Here is a 16,659-nt window from a genome sequence, read left to right as displayed (position 1 = left end):
CCTGCTGGTGGATATTCCATTTTAGCTATTACAAATAATGCTTCTATGAGTATTCTTGTGCATGTGTTGGTGAACATATGTGTGCATTTCCATTGGATATATACCTAAGAGTGGAGTTGCTGGATCCTAGGTTAGGTGTATCATCTACCTCTTGCAGATGAGATAAATTAGATAAACTAACTTAGATGTTAATTTAGATGTTCAGCTTTAGTAGATTCTACCAATCTGTTAAGTGCCTACACCATTTTACTTCCACCAACAATGTATGAGAGCTTCAGTTGCTCTACATCCGGCCAACACTTGGAAGGAAATTGGAAGGGTAGCAGATCCAGGATTTAGGGGGAGAAAGACTCAAATAGAATGCAAATAGCTGGGCCTGGTGGGGTGGCTCACGCCTGTAATCCCAGTACTTTGGGAGGCCGAGGCGGGTGGATCACCAGGTCAGGAGTTTGAGACCAGCCTGACCAACATGGTGAAACTCTGACTCTACTAAAAATACAAAAATTAGCCGGGCGTGGTGTCGGGCGCCTGTAATGCCAGCTACTTCGGAGGCTGAGGCAGGAGAATCTCTTGAAACTGGAAGGCGGAGGTTGCAGTGAGCCGAGATCGTGCCACTGCACTCCAACCTGCGTGATGGGAGCAAAACTCCATCTCAAAAAAAAAAAAAAAAAAAAAAAAAGAATTCAAAGAGCCTTTCAGGAAAGCTGAAGGTTGTTGGTCTTAATTTCAGTTTTCTGTTGGCATATAGTGGTATCTCACTGTGGTTTAAGTTTGCCTTTCTCTGATGACTAATGATGGTGAGCACCTTTTCATACATTTATTGGCCATTTGGATATCCTCTTTTGTGAATTACCTGTTCAAATCTTTTTTTCTGTTTTTTCTACTGGATTATCTATCTATATTTATCTTATTGTTTGTAGGAGTTCTTTATAGTTTCTGTAGTATAAAAGTCCTTTGCTATATATAGGTATTGCGAATATCTCAGAAAAGCCCTTTTTGAAATGGTTAAAGAGTAGCTTCTCTCTGAAGAATATTTTCTTTATTTTAAAAAGTATTATCATTTTAATTTTTATCCAACCAATTGAATAGAAGCATTCCGTTACAGGGATCGTGTCATTTGATGATGTGTCTTGCGGATTTCACCCAGGAGTGGTGGAATTGACTGGATCCTCCTCAGAGGACCTTGTGATTCTAGAGAAATATAGAGAGATATAGAGATGTGATACTACAGAACTACAGCCTTCTGGTCTCTGTGGGTGAGGATGGCTTCTCTGAGTAATTCATGGTATATCCAGTAGAATAACTTTCCATCTCTGAAGTGCTTCAATATTTTGACCTCAGGTTCTAGGGATTAAAGATGCTTAATCCCTCCTAGACTGAACAAGGTGTTTCTATTTTCATCTCCTATGTGAAATTTAGCCTCATGAATATGTGCCTTCCTAACTTTTTGAGGTCCCAAAGCCCACACAGACGTGCCCAAGTCTTGTATCATTTTCCGTTACAGGGTATCCCGTGACCAAACCAGATGTGATTGCCTCTTTGGAGGAAGGAGGACTTTGGATCACAGAGAGAGAAGTCCCAAGTTTGAGTTGTACAGCTAAGAAAGAAATGAGCAGGCCAGGCACAGTGGCTCACGCCTGTAATCCCAGCACTTCGGAAAGCCAAGGCGTGTGAATCATTTGAAGTCAGGAGTTTGAGACCAGCTAGGCCAACATGGTGAAACCCCTTCTCTACTAAAAATGCAAACATTAGCTGGGTATGGTGGCCATGCCTGTAGTCCCAGCTTCTTGGGAGGGTGAGGCACAAGAATCGCTTGAACCCGGGAGGCGGAGGTTGCAGTGAGCCGAGATCGCACCTCTGCACTCCAGCCTAGGTGACAGAGTGAGACCTTGTCAGAAAGAAAGAAAGAAAGAAAGAAAGAAAGGAAGCAAGCAAGCAAGCAAGCAAGCAGATGGGAAGTCATGAGAAGGATACTGCAGTGGGTCAGTGAGGGCTGGACATCTTTGAAAGCTCAGAAATATCTTCTTTTTTTTTTTTTTTTTTTGAGACGGAGCCTCACTCTGTCGCCCCAGGCTGGAGTGCAGTGGCGGGATCTCAGCTCACTGTAAGCTCCGCCTCCCGGGTTCACGCCGTTCTCCTGCCTCAGCCTCCCGAGTAGCTGGGACTACAGGTGCCCGCCACCATGCCCGGCTAGTTTTTTGTATTTTTAGTAGAGACGGGGTTTCAACATGTTAGCCAGGATGGTCTCGATGTCCTGACCTCATGATCCGCCCACCTCGGCCTCCCAAAGTGCTGGGATTACAGGCGTGAGCCACTGCGCCCGGCCAGAAATGTCTTCTTAAAGGATATGAACTTCTGTTGCTAACTGTAAATTGTTAGTTTTGTGAGCTATTCTCTCACAGTAATGTTGGAGTGAGATGGTGAAGAGCTAGCCTCACCACAATCTGGCCTCGTCCTTCTGCTTATTCTCTTGGTCACCTCATTTGTTTCCAGCTTTCCTAAAAGGCTATTTGCGTTCTATTTGAGTCCTTCTCCCCACAAATCGTGGATCTGCTACCCTTCTAATCTCCCTTTCCCCTGTTCATGGCTCCCTAAACCTATTTTTACCTTCTCTCCCCTATTTTATTTTTATTTATTTATGTATTTTTGAGACACAATTTCACTCTGTCGCCCAAGCTGGAGTGTAGTGGCATAATCTTGGATCACTGCAACCTCCGCCTCTTGGGTTAAAGTGATTCTCATGCCTCAGCCTCCTGAGTAGCTGGGATTACAGGTGTGTGCCACCACGCATGGCTATTTGTGTGTGTGTGTGAGTTATTAGTAGAGATGGGTTTTTGTCATGTTGGCCAGGCTGGTCTCGAACTCCTGACTTCAAGTGATCCACCCGCCTTGGCCTCCCAAAGTGCTTGGATTAGAGGCATGAGCCACCGTGCCCAGCCTCTCCCCACTTTTAAAGTATTTTTCTTAAACAATCAAATTCACTTATATTTATCATCACTTTCCCATTCCAATTTCTATTAGAGCAACTTGGGTTTGTTTGTTTGTTTGTTTGTTTTCTCAAGCTCAGGGTGTAGGAAAGAAATGTACTTGGAATTTCTTTCTGACTGGTATATAGGCTTGAAAGAAAAGTCAGTCCCACCAGAGACCTACTTCTGACAAAGCTGTATTCACAGGCTAGAGTGTGGATTATTATTATTCTTTCTAGAAGCCTGGCAAGCTGATGACCAGCTAAAGAGGCACCTTTTGTGGCCTTGAAGGTATGAGGGCTGTCAGTTGGAAGCCAAACCTCACCATAAATCTAGATGCAGGTATTAAAGGAAACCCAATTTAATTAATTAAATAAGCATAGTCCTTGGAAATGATACTCAGGAAAAATGTCTCCAGATTTAATACCAAACTCTCATAGAAAAATTAATAAAATCTACTATTATTAAAAATCGCTGTTTTGTCATAATGGAGAATAAGTGCCATACAAGAACAAAAGGGTTTATCAAATTATAGGAAGTTACAGATTTAAAGATAGCCATTAAAAAACAACAATTAAAAATATACTTTAGGCCGGGTGTGGTGGCTCACGCCTGTAATCCCAGCACTTTGGGAGACTGAGGCGGGTGGATCACCTGAGGTCAGGAGTTCAAGACCAGCCTGCCCAACATGGTGAAACCCCGTCTTTACTAAAAATACAAAAATTACCCAGGCGTGGTAGTGGGCGCCTGTAATCCCAGCTACTCGGGAAGCTGAGGCAGGAGAATCGCTTAAACCCGGGAGGCAGAGGTTACAGTGAGCCACCGCACTCCAGCCTGGGTAACAGAGCGAGACTCCATTTCAAAAAAAAAAAAAAAGAAAGAAAAAGAAAAGAAAAAAGAAAGGAAAGAAGGAAAGAAAATAAGAAAAAACAAGAAATCAGTACCCAAAGTGTTGGCACTCTTTATGGACCCACAGGGAGATGTGAGATTTGATTACCTAGGCTGGTTGGGGTGCAAGGCGGGGGAAATCCAGTTGGCATTAAGGAAGGGGGCTCCGGCATTCCTTGGCATGCAGTGGCAGCTAGCTGTTTTCATGCTCATCTGTGATTATCCTGGTTGAAGTGAACACTTCAAGGTCTCAGGTGCTTGAGTATCCACCCCAATCAAAGAGTACAAAGAACATGAGGGACTGCTTCCTTATGGGAGTGGCTGCTTCCAAAGGTGCTGGCCATTGCAAAGAATGGCAAATTGAAATTCCTAAATTCTCTGCTCAAGACACAAAGTGACACTCAGGCACTCTGTAAGAAGAAATTATTACCACGTGTGTCCATTGAATGTTTTGCCTACATTCCCGCTCTGTCATTTTAAACTTCAGACTTTGATCATGAAAGAGGGGCTGGGGGCTGGAAGAATGGTGTTATGTGGGAGGATGTGGGGAAACGTACCTTTAACTCCTGATTCCCACTGAGCTTCCTGTGTAAGCACAATCCTATTAGATTCATTCTCCCCTGAAGAGACTGTATCTGCCTTAAATAAAGACCCTTTTTTTTTTTTGAGACGGAGTCTCGCTCTGTTACCCTGGCTGGAGTGCAGTGGTGCGATCTCGGCTCACTGCAACCTCCGCCTCCTGGGTTCAAGCGATTCTTCTGCCTCAGCCTCCTGAGTAGCTGGGACTACAGGTGCATGTCACCACACCCGGCTAAATTTTTTTTTGTATTTTTAGTAGAGATGGGGTTTCACCATATTGGCCAGGCTGGTCTCGAACTCCTGACCTCATGATCCACCTGGCTTGGCCTCCCAAAAGTGCTGGGATTACAGGCATGAGCCACTGCACCCCACCGAGAGTGATTCTTTTTAAGGGAAGCCAATTTTCATCTCTCCCATCCCACTCCTCTATCTCCAAACCTACAACTGTCTTATGTACCAAGCACTTTATGCGTTTTACAAATATTAATTCATTTAATCCTCCCAATAACCCCATCAAGTAGTTACTATTATCATCCTTATTTAACAGATGAGGAAACTGAGGCTCAGAGAATTTAAGTATCTCTTCCAAGGCAACACAGCTAGTAGGTGGTAGAGATGGCTTCTGAACCCAGGAGAACAACATGCTCTTGATTCACAACACTATCCTCCCTTCCTTCCCCACTCTGAGTGATCTGGTATTTCTTAATTAGAGCTTTGAATACATGGAGGAAGTGACGGAATGAGGGTACCTCCAGGCATTGAATAAATGAAGAGAGTCAGACATCAGAGCATCTTTTGCATTGTTTATAGATACCATCCTTTATTAAATGCACAAGAGAAAGAAATGAAAGGAAGATAAAATCTGTCTCTTCGAATCTGAGTCATGGATGAATTTTTGGATCAATTTTCACATGCATATCACACCCCTTGAGCCATTCAGATAAATCATGGCCAGAACAGTGTAGCCTCCAAGAAGTCCTGGGAAATGAAGGAAAGGAGAGAGGATGAAGTGGACAGGTTGATGGGGTGGCAGTGACACTATCCCTGGCTGCCCATGGCCTGGGCCATCCCCATGAACTTACCAGGCAGAAAGCCCATTCTGTGAGGACACAATCTGCTTGGCACACCTGATGTCATCCAGAATATGGCGATTGAGCAGGTCTGAGGGGGAAGAGAGGGACATGGTGGTCTGGTGCACTGGGGATAGGATAACAGTGAATGGAGGGCCCAAGGGTTTTGGGTTCCTTGGGGCCTGAAGAACCTCAACCACTATGTTGACTGATTCTTGATGACCTTGATTCTCTTGTCAGTTGGTTATGAATGATCTTAATCACCATGTTAGCTGGTTCTGTACAACCTTAACTCATGTTGACTGATCCTGGATGATCTAGATTGTCATGTTGGCTAGTTATGAATAACCCCAACCTCCATACTGTCTGGTCCTGGACAACCTCAACCTCCATTTGGGCTGGCCCCAAATAACCTCAGTCTCCATTTTTTCCTGTCTTGGACAACCTCAACCACCATTTTGGCCAACACTGAACAACTTTAACGGCTATTCTATTTTGTCCTCAACACCACCAGTCTTATCTGGAAAGTTCTGTCATTTCTGCATGGAGGTTATCTGTTTCTGTTTCTAGAACCAGACACTCTGCTTCTTTCCTCGGGGCCTGGGTAACCTCAACCCCAAATCAGGACAGTTTCTAACTCTGTTCCACATGGAGGTAAGTTTCCTGTTTCCTGAGTCTAAGAAAACTGCAGTGTCCATTCTGGGTGAGGATTGGGAGCTCTGAGCTCTTCTGTCCTAAACAACCTCTCAGGATAGTCTGGGTAGGGGTAGAGGATGGTGTCTTTAATAGCTCAGGCAACTTTTCTCCTTTTCCCATCATTTTTCTCTTGTTGCAGGAGATTATGGCTTAAACAACCTTGCCCTCCATGTGTGGGAGAGTAGGGCCCAGCAGGGCTTCAGTGGGTCCCCCAGTGCTGACTTACCATGACAATCCATGTGGCAGAGGTTCTTGGTGGGTGTAATGCCATTGTCACACCACCAGGCAGAATTCAGTTGGAAAATGCCATATTCACTGCTGCCATCAGGATTGTGGTCCACGAAGGCGGTGTCAAAGCCACTCTCATAATGAGCCATGCACAGCCCTGGGGCAGGGAGAAGGGAGGCAGGGAGTAGGTATAGAGCTTGGGAATAGGGAAGGATAGGATGGGGGGAGGACAGGGATGGTTGTCATCTCAGTTGTGAGGGTGGTGATCTTGGTTTAGTGGTGGTGATGTTGGTGATTCTGGTGAGACATCAGTGATGGTGGTAGCGATGGTATTCATGATGGTAACAGTGGTGATGATATTGATTGTAGTGATGGTGTTGATGGCAGAGATGGAGGTGATGGTTGTGAAGGCAATAATGGTGGTGGTGTTAGAGTTAGTTAAACTACTCAGCATAGTCAGTCAGGGAGTGACTCAAGGGATCATGCCCAGGCCTGGAGAGGTGATAAAGGACAAGAAGGGGCCTGGGTCTGAATGTGGCGGGTGGCTCAGGGTTTGGATGGGATTTGGGGCAACTGGATTCTCACAGTCTCCAACGCCGTAGCCCTTGTAGCCGTTCAGCCCTGCTCTCTCCAGTCTTGCCGCCAGCTCGCAGCGTTCATAGATCTTGGCATCCACAGTGACAACCATCAGCGTGGCCAAGGTCACTACCACAGTGCCCCAGGCCTTCATTATGGCACCTGTAAGCCCTCCCAGGTGACTTGCTCCAGACTCACCCTGTGGTGTTCGGAATTAGGGGCATTCTGGAACTCTGGGCTCTATGAGCAAAGGTCTAAGTGGTAGATTCTGGAACGCGCAACACAGAAGCCTCAACATCGCCCAACACTGTTGCATTGGGGATTAAAGGCCCCACCTCCCAACACTGTTGCATTGGGGATTAAGTTTCTGACATCTGAATTTTGGAAGGCACACATTCAAACCATAGCACTCATCCTTGGTACCTTGTTCACCTCTCTGCACTTAAAGTGCTGTTCCATCCTAATTTACTGGAATGTGCCCCACATTTCATATTACAAATGGCATATTACATATACATTCTTATGCTTGACTGCTTTTTCAACTTCATTCTCATTCTGCCTTTTGTTCCTCCATTCACTTACACTGCCTTTCAGCCACTTATATTCACCCATACTGGGCCTCATATTATCGCAATTCCTCACAGTCTACTTAGCATTACCCAAATTCTTTCATGTCATATTCCTTCTTCACCCCACTCACTCTCACTCAGACTCATTTCCTATCTTTGCCTCTATTTCCCGCCCCTGCATCAAATGACTCTGGCTTACTCGCACGTGGCCCAGCCTTCAGCTTCTTTCATTGACCCGGGGCCTCATTATTTCCCCCCTTCACTCCCCCTCTGCCCCTCCTTCACCTCTATTCTCTCAGATGCTGTCCCAGGAACACCCCCATTTCCTGGAGCTCTGTCCCTATTACTCCCAAACACTAGCTGAAGTTACCCACATACACTTAGCCTACGCTAAGTGAGCCAAGATCGCACCACTGCACTCCAGTCACTGTTCTTTCTCAGTTTTCTCTTCATTGTTTCCATTTACTCTTACTCTGCCTCTCACTGCCTCATTCCTTTAAATCTATTCCCACTGTAACCCCTATCACCCTCTTCTTGCTCATATTCTGCTCCTGATTCATGGCTGCCATTCTGCCTCCCAGTACCCGCATTCTGTCACGCTGTGCCTCAAATTCGTTACTTTTGCTCACATCGGGCTCCCCATGTTTCCTCGCTTTACTCACCCGAGGCCATGAAGCCTTCATCCACTCTCTGCCTCACAATACCCACGTTCACCCATCCTCTGCTCTTCACTTTCATTCCCTCTCACTCTGCCCAACATCACCTCCATTCATGTGCACTCTTCAGCTCATTCACATTTGCCGATTCCCACTGGGATCCCTGTGCACCCACGTTCCTGGGCTACTACCCTGTATAACGCCCATGTAATCCCAGTCATCTCTAGTCATCCTTCTCCCTCGTAGCACCCACACTCAAACTCGGCCTGCTTCACATTCTACCATGTATCCATCTCCACTCTTTTATTCTGTCCCTCCCGCACCCCATTCTTCCCTTTCCATCCCACATTACCCCCATTCACTCCTACTGTCTCCCTAAATTCCCCTCTCTTCATTCATCTTGTGCCTCATAAAACCACCATTCATTCACACTCTAATCCTCAGTACTCACATAAACTCCACTCACATTCACCCCCTTCAGTTGCCCCATTCATTCAGAGTCTGCTCCCACTTTCACCTTTTTTCCGCTGAGACTGTGCCTCATTTCCCATCATTTACTTAATCTCATCATAATCTCAAATTCATTCATAATTGAATGCATGCATAGTCATTCCCTCACTTTGGCCCACATCCACTCCACTCTGGTGTTCATTCACCTCCATTCCATTGCCCTTTGCCTCTCCTTGCTCTCATTTACTCCCAATTTGCCCTTCAGTCACCATTATTCATGCCCCTCACCCACCAGTCCCATGTATCTCCTGTTCACTGACACTCACATTGGCCAACACAGAAGCATCTGATGGATTGCTCAGGATTTGATCTGGCTGCACGCACCAACCCCACCACAAACACCAGTGGCTTCAAGAGGAGGGAAGCAGATTCCTCTTTTGGAGGCAGGTAATCCAGGGCTAGTGTGGTAGCTCCAAGGTCACCAGAGACCTGGCTCCTTCTGTGCTGTTGCTCTGTCAGCCTCACCTGCTGCTTCTGGTCCAAAATGACCGCTCACAATTGGCAAGGCTTTTGTGGTCTTGATAAAATGTATCATAAGAGCAATTGTAATGATGACTCGCCAGCCACGTGGGGGCTTCTCTCATTGTCTTTGGGTGGGAATGTCATATCATGCAGACTCTGTGGTGGGACCAGCCACCTGTCAGCTTCTCACTCTCCTTCACCTAGCCACCTGCTGCTTAGGTTACTGTATGAGGAGGTCACACCTGTAGGGAATGACGGTAGAGGATACCCAGGACAGAGAGTGGGAGTCCTCGCTCTGCAGCAGCAAAGTTAGCCTCACATAGCTTGTGCATGCACACTGTGGGCCCTCAGATAGTTTCTGAGGGGCTGTATCACTGGCTCCTCTGCCCCCCAACTCCCACCAACCCTAAAAGATTTCCTCCTTTGTGTAGGTGTGTGTGTACAAGGTGGTTGGAGATGACGTTTAGGTGCTAGAAGGGGCGACACTTGATGGGCCCTAAAGGACCAGCCCTTTCTATTTTCTACCTCCTAATGCATTGAGAGAGTGGATAAATTGTATACCCAGGAGGTGCTGATGTGTCAGGGAGCAACAGATGTGAGTTCCTTTTTTACTTTCTTTCTTTCTTTGTCTTGTCTACTGGGAAGCTCCATTCCTTTTGTTGTTGTTGTTGTTTGTTTGTTTTTTGTTTTTGAGATGGAGTCTCACTGTGTTGCCCAGGCTGGAGTGCAGTGGTGTGATCTTGGCTCACTGCAACCTCTGCCTCCCGGGTTCAAGCGATTCTCCTGCCTCAGCCTCCAGAGTAGCTGGGATCACAGGCGTGCTACCAAGCCCGGCTAATTTTTGGTGTTTTTAGTAGAGACGGGGTTTCACCATGTTGGCCAGGCTGGTCTTGAACTCCTGACCTCAGGTGATCCGCCTACCTTGGCGTCCCAAAGTGCTGAGATTACAGGCGCACGCCACCGTACCCAGCCCAATATATGTGTATTTTTAACGTTACTATATAATGCTAGATTGCTTCAGACTGGTCTTTACAGATCGGATCCTTCTTATGGTTTCCCATATGTCCAGAATGAAATATGAGCTCCCTGGCCAAGGAGGCCCTACAGCACCTGGCCCCAGCCTACACCCCCTACACTCCCAACACACTGACACTGTCTACTCATCCAGAAAAAGCAACCTGTTAGCCACCACTTAATATACCCCTTCACCCCCGGTGTGTGTGTCCCACATCGCCGTTTATTTTTCAGCTTGTTTGTCTGCATACCGACCCACCGTCCTTCAAACGCTACAACGTAAACTCCCAGTCCTGGCCACTGGATGAAGCCAGTGGCTTTTCCCTACCTCCTACTCTTTGTGCACGCAGAGCAATTTAGCCACGCATCCCGCCTTCCCGTTATTTTACACCTGCAACCCTGTTGCTGCCCTCCAAGTTCAAAGTGCGAAATTGCCGCCTGCTAGAATCTTTTCCTTAGTTGGGCACTTCCCCTCCCCGCCCTGCCGTAAGAAAATTGGTGTCTGAAGTCTTAGGAGTGCCTGCCTCTGCATAACTAAGTAAACAACCGCTTTGCGACGCAGCCCCAGCAGCAAAAGGACACGGTGGGCACGGCCATCTGGCCTGGAGCAGTGACGTCACCGGCAAGGCTACCTTCCCTCTGCGCCTGCGCTGCGGCCCCATGTTGACTATTGGCGGACGGGGTCTCAAAGGCGCCACTGAGCGTGCGCAGAACCGACCCCTGCAGCCCTTTAGGCTGCGGTGCCAAAGAGTCGGTCCCGAAGCGGAAGTGCTTGTTGGGGCCAGGCTTTGTAACGGTCTCCTGAGCAGCGAGCAGAAAATCTGTTATCGAGAGAGAGTGAGGTTGAGGGGGCAAGTGCTAGGGGTCGTGGGCTGAGTGATGGGGAGTTCTGTGGGATGAGTGAAGTGGGAGTTGGGGGTTGAGTGATGGGGGACCGAGAGGTCAGTGGACGAGGTTCTAGGGGCTCACTGGTGAACAAAGTTATGGGGGCTAAGCAGGATTAAATGGGGCTTATTAAACTTTGACTTTTACACGTTTTCCAGCACAGTGACCTGCCCCTAAAGGTTCATGCGCATCCCTCAGACCCCTCTTTAGACGCGCCCCGCTTCTCCCTCTGCCCTCTCCCCTTGCCCAAGCCCCGAGGTGGGGGCCTGGTGTGAATGCTCCGGCCGAAGTGAACCTGCACCCCCGCACCCGAAGGCCTCTTTCCGGCTTCTGGGCAAGGCGGCCCCGGTGAGGTGAGCAGAAGGAAGGAGAGGCACCTGCGAGGTCTCACCTGACCCCGGGCCTCGCCCAAGTTGGGGGCGTGGGAGGAGGGGTAGGTGCGGGGTCTGAGGGAGATGGGGGTAAAATGTAATTGGGATAATAGTTTTAGAGTGTAGTTTTTTTTGGCATTTAATAAATAACATTTGAATATATAGATTAATTCTGAAATAGAGAAAAAGAAAATCAACAGGAACTAATTCTTCCCCCACACATTTAAATGTCCGTTTTTAGACATTTTTGGTGTGTATAGGGGTATGCCTTTTAAACATTTAACATATAACTTTAAAATGGATTCCCGCAGTTTTAAAACCTACTTTGTAATTCACCTTAGGATTTTTTTGTACACCTTTTAAAAACGTTTAGTTGAGATACATATACCACAAAGTGCATAGATACTGTACAGTTCCATATAACGCTTTTAACAGCTTTGTAGCATTTTATCTTTTATATTTTGTTATTATTAATCCCTTATGGGTCATAGAGGATCGTTTAAGTTTGGCATTATTGAAATCAATGCTGAGACGTGGGTACGTGCAGAGAAATTATGATACATTATGATAAATTATTTCCTTAAGGAAAATACCTACAAATACACTTTATGGGTCAGTACACAATTTAATATATGTGTATATAAAACCTTTTGTGTTCAATGTTCACATGAAGAGTGAATAATACACAGATTGTTAAAATCACATGGTTGCCCAGACTCTTCCAGAGAGCAGTCTGATGGCCAGCTGATGTGAGGGGATTGCTAGGCAGCTAATTCTGGGCACTGAAAGTCTGATGGGGTCTCCTCATCTGCTGTACTCTTCTCCACTTGTTCCAGCTCGGCCGTCACACATCTCTGCTTTTTCCCAAGAAGAGCAGGAAATGGCCAAACCCCAGGTAAGTATGTTGTCTGTTTCTTCATTCCTCTATTTTACTGTGGATGTGACGAAATATGTGGAAATCCCTGCCATAAAATAGGAAAGTATTTGTAAATAAGGATTGGATCAGGCAAAATAAGAGACAACAGATCAAGGCCAAATTAGAATGTAGAGGTGTGCAGGACTCAGGGTGTAACAGATATTGATGTTGGGCTGTCAGTTTCTCTTTGAGCCTTCTGGTAGCCAAAGGGAAACATAACCAGTACCTTGGCTCACCTTACTCATCAGGAGAGAGCACACAGCCTTCATGGGAAGTCAAGGTTGCCTGGAATTGTGTTTAAAGGTATTTCTTTGCTGGGTCTTCATGTGGATAGTGCAGTTGCCCTCAACCACAGCCTGGTGACAAATGCTTTCCTGCAGATATGTGCTACAGCTTTCCTCAGTGAGCTGGAGACATCATGTCAAAATGTAACTTGGGAATGAAATCTCTTAGGGAACCTGCTTGTCTTTCCAATGATTTTCCTGAAGCAATTTCTTAGTCGGACTTTGAATTATCTTTTGTCCAAGAGACAAAATTTTTTCAGATACCTGCAGCCCACCATATTTTTTCTTTCACTTTAAACATTTTTATTTTTTAAATTAACATACAGTGAAATTGATTTTTGTTAGATTGGTGTAACTAATCTATAGGATAGATAATAGTTTCATCACCCCAAAAAAACTCCTTCATGCTACTCTGTTAATAGTCATGTCTTCCCCAACCTGTAACCTCAGGCAGCGGTAGGTCTGTTCTGTGTCACTGTAGTTTTGTCTTTTCAAGAATGTCATATAAGTGAGGTGTCATGTATTATGTAACCTTTTCTTTCTGAGATGATTGATTTACATGCAATTGAAAGAATAATACAGAGAAATCCTGTGTACTCTTTTCCTAGGTTCCCCCAATGATAACATCCTGCAAAAACCATAGTACAATATCAAAGTCAGGATGTTGACATTGATATGATCAAGCCCCATCATCGCAAGGATCCCTCAAATTGTCCCTTATAGCCACAGCCACTGCCCTTCCTCCCCCATACCCATTCCTAAACTCTTGGCAGCTACAAATCTGTTTTCTGTTTTGGGAATTTTGTCATTTCAGGAATGTAATAGAAATGGATCGTATGGTATGTGACCTTTTGGGATTTGTTTGTTTGTTTCCACTCAGCACAATTCCCTGGAGATTCATCAAAGTTGTGTGTGTCAGTAGTTGTTTCTTTGTTATTGCTGAATAGTAGTCCATGGTATAAATGTACCACAGTGTATTTATCCATTCACCTGTTGAAAGACATTTGCGTTATTTCCAGTTTTTGGCAATTATGAGTAGAGCTACTTTAAACAATCATGCACAGGGTTTTGTGTGAACATAGGTTTTCATTTCTGTGGAGTAAATATTGGATTACTAGGTCATATGGTAAGTGTATGTTTAACTTTTTAGGAATCTGCCAAATTATTTTCTAGAGTGGTTGAACCATTTTTCATTTCTCCTAGCAATGTATGAGTTCCAATTGTTCCATATTTTTGTCAGTACTTGGTATTGTCAGTATTTTTTATGTAGTCATTTATCTCATAATGATTTTAATTTGCATTTCCTTAATGGTTAAAGATGTTAAGCATCTTTATATATGCTTATTTATTTTTGGTCTATCCTCTTGATGAATGTCTGTTCAAAAGTTTCCGCCCATTTTTCAATTGGATTTTCTTGCTGTTGAGTTTTAAGAGTTCTTTATATATCCTTTACACAGGTCCTTTGTCAGATACATGGTTTGTAAATGTTTTCTCCAAGTGTATTGCTTGTCCTTTTCCTCTCATAACATTGTTGTTTGCAGAGCAAGAATTTTTAATTTGGAAAATTTCCAATTTATGAATCATTTATTTATGGATCATGCCCTTGGTGTCATGTCTAAGAACTTTGCCTAACACTAGGTCATGAAGATTTTCTCCTATTGTATAATTTTATAGTTTTAGATTTTACATTTAGATAGATGATTCCTTTTGCATTAATTTTTTTTTTTTGAGATGGAGTCTCACTCTGTTCCCCAGGCTAGAGTGCAGTGGCGCCATCTTGGCTCACTGCAACCTCCACCTCCTGGGTTCAAGTGATTCTCGTGCCTCAGCCTCCCGAGTAGCTGGGACTACAGGCATGTGCCACTACACCTGGCTAATTTTTATATTCTTAGTAGAGACAGGGTTTCACCATGTTGGCCAGGCTGGTCTTGAACTCCTGACCTCAGGTGATCCGCCCACCTCGGCCTCCCAAAGTGGTGGGATTACAGGCATGAGCCACCGCGCCCGGCTCTTTTGCATTAATTTTTGTATAAGGTATGAGGATTAGGTCAGGTTTCATCATTTTGCATACGGATTTCCAATTGTTCTAACCCCAATTGTTGAGAATTTTTTTTTGCTTTATTATTTTATTATTTAATGTTTTAATTTTTTTTTGAGATGGAGTCTTGCTCTATTGCCCAGGCTGGAGTGCAGTGGTGCGATCTCAGCTCACTGCAACCTCCGGCTCTCAGGTTCAAGCAATTCCCCTGCCTTAGCCTCCTGAGTAGCTGGGACTACAGGCATGTGCCACCACACCTGGCTAATTTTTGTATTTTTAGTAGAGACGGGGTTTCACCATGTTGGGCAGGCTGGTCTCGAACTGCTGACCTCAGATGATCTGCCTGCCTCAGCCTCCCAAAGTGCTGGGATTACAGGCGTGAGCCACTGTGCCCAGCCTTATTATTTTAAATTGACACATAATAATTATACATATTTATGGGGTATACTGGGATGTTTTGGTAAATGTCTACAATGTGTAATGATCCAATCAAGATAATTAGCATATCCATCTCAAACATTTATTTCTTAGTATTGAGAACATTCAAAAATTTCTAGCTATTTGAAAATATGCACTAAATTGTTGTTAATTATGGTCACCCTACAGTGTTGTTGAATGCTAGAACTTATTCCTCCTATCCAGCTGTACTTCTGTATCTGTTAACCAACCTTTGGCTACCCACCCCGCAACCCTTCCCTGCCTCTAGTAACCACTGGTCTTCTATGAGAACAACTCTACTTGTATGAGAAGAATTTTTTAAGCTTCTACATATGAGTGAGCACAGGCAGTATTTATCTTTCTGTACCTGGCTTATTTTACTTAGGATAATGTCCCCCAGGTTCATCCATTGTTGCAAATGGCAGAATTTCCTTCTTTTTTTTTTTTTTTTGAGATGGAGTCTTGCTTTGTCACCCAGGCTGCTTGGCTCATTGCAACTTCCGCCTCCCAGGTTCAAGTGATTCTCCTGCCCCAGCCTGCTGAGTAGTTGGGATTACAGGCACCTGCCACCACGCCTGGCTAATTATTGTATTTTTAGTAGAGGCGGGGTTTCACCATGTTGGCCAGACTGGTCTTGAACTCCTGACCTCAGGTGATCTGCCTGCCTTGGCCTCCCTAAGTGCTGGGACTATAGGCATGAGCCACCGCTCCCGGCCTGAATTTCCTTCTTTTTAAAGGCTGAATGATATTCCATTGTGTATATATGCCACATTTTCTTTATCTGTTCATCCACTGATGGAAACTGAGGTTGATTCCATAACTTGACTGTTGCAAATAATGCTGCAATAAACATGGGATTGTAGATATCTCCTTGACATCCTAATTTCAGATCCTTTGGATGTATACCCAGGAGTGATATTACTGCATCATATGGTGATTCTTTTTTTTTTTTTTTTTTTGAGACGGAGTCTCGCTCTGTCACTTAGGAGTATAGTGGTGCGATCTCGGCTCACTGCAACCTCTGCCTCCTGGGTTCAAGCAATTCTTCTGCCTCAGCCTCCCGAGTAATTGGGATTACAGGCGCCCGCCACCACGCCCAGCTAATTTTTTTGTATTTTTAGTAGAGACAGAGTTTTGCCATGTTGGGCAGGCTGGTCCTGAACTACTGACCTCAGGTGACCCACCCGCCTCGGCCTCCCAAAGTGCTGGGATCACAGGCGTGAGCCACCACACCCGGCCTCCTCTAAGCACGTCTTTAGCTGCATCCCACACATTTTCATATGTTGTATTTTCATTTTTGTTCAGTTTGAAGTATTTTCTAATTTTCTTTGAGACTTCCTCTTTGACCAATATATTATTTAGAAGAATGATGTTTAATTTTCAAGTACCTAGGGATTTTCCTGTTATCTATTACTATAAACAAATTCATTATGTTCTAAGAACACATTATCCTTTGCGTGATTTCAGTTCTTTTACACTTGTTAAATTTGGGTTTCCGACTCATGATATGGCC

General features: G+C 44.9%; 2 protein-coding genes across 5 annotated transcripts in view, besides 1 other annotated feature; one reads left to right on the top strand and one right to left on the bottom strand.

Moving 5' to 3' along the window:
• Positions 1-5,226: 5,226 nt before the first annotated feature.
• Positions 5,227-10,624, bottom strand: SPACA5 (sperm acrosome associated 5). 2 transcript variants are annotated; one of them, NM_205856.3, is made up of 5 exons: positions 10,543-10,624; positions 7,013-7,243; positions 6,426-6,584; positions 5,516-5,594; positions 5,231-5,411 (listed from the first exon to the last, which is right to left on the bottom strand). In NM_205856.3, exons 2-5 carry the CDS (start codon positions 7,155-7,157, stop codon positions 5,315-5,317), a joined length of 480 nt encoding a protein of 159 aa, NP_995328.2. In that variant the 5' UTR covers positions 7,158-7,243; positions 10,543-10,624; the 3' UTR covers positions 5,231-5,314. The 2 variants fall into 2 exon arrangements, with proteins under 2 accessions (NP_001381227.1, NP_995328.2); NM_001394298.1 differs by lacking the exon at positions 10,543-10,624 and having other exon boundaries at positions 5,227-5,411; positions 7,013-7,972.
• ZNF182 (zinc finger protein 182) overlaps positions 10,971-16,659 on the top strand; it is a 29,139-nt gene continuing 23,450 nt past the window's right edge. For 2 of the 3 annotated variants that reach the window (NM_001007088.2, NM_006962.2), the window contains exons 1-3: positions 10,971-11,051; positions 11,258-11,452; positions 12,307-12,365. In NM_001007088.2, the coding sequence (NP_001007089.1) occupies positions 12,351-12,365 (15 nt within the window). In that variant the 5' untranslated portion in view covers positions 10,971-11,051; positions 11,258-11,452; positions 12,307-12,350. Of the gene's footprint in view, positions 11,057-11,257; positions 11,453-12,306; positions 12,366-16,659 lie in introns of all 3 variants that reach the window. The other variant, NM_001178099.2, reaches the window with a different exon arrangement.
• Positions 11,046-11,355: an enhancer, noted in NCBI's record as "active region_29600". NCBI's record gives its function as "activates an Ori minimal core promoter by ATAC-STARR-seq in GM12878 lymphoblastoid cells {active_cell/tissue: GM12878}" and the evidence as "EXISTENCE:reporter gene assay evidence [ECO:0000049][PMID:35858748]".

Source organism: Homo sapiens, chromosome X, assembly GCF_000001405.40.
Source record: "Homo sapiens chromosome X, GRCh38.p14 Primary Assembly".
Taxonomy (NCBI): Eukaryota; Metazoa; Chordata; class Mammalia; order Primates; family Hominidae; genus Homo; species Homo sapiens.
Note: the sequence above shows the minus strand (reverse complement) of the source record. Positions and strands in the feature narration are given on the sequence as shown.

What these genes read in the sequence shown, in the direction of transcription:
- SPACA5 (NM_205856.3), bottom strand. Translation starts at nt 7,157, where the DNA reads ATGAAGGCCTGGGGCACTGTGGTAGTGACCTTGGCCACGCTGATGGTT. An exon ending in CTGCCACATGGATTGTCATG is followed by an intron (nt 5,595 to 6,425) that starts GTAAGTCAGCAC and finishes CTTCCCCCTCAG; the next exon opens with ACCTGCTCAATCGCCATATT. An exon ending in CAGAATGGGCTTTCTGCCTG is followed by an intron (nt 5,412 to 5,515) that starts GTAAGTTCATGG and finishes TTCATTTCCCAG; the next exon opens with GACTTCTTGGAGGCTACACT.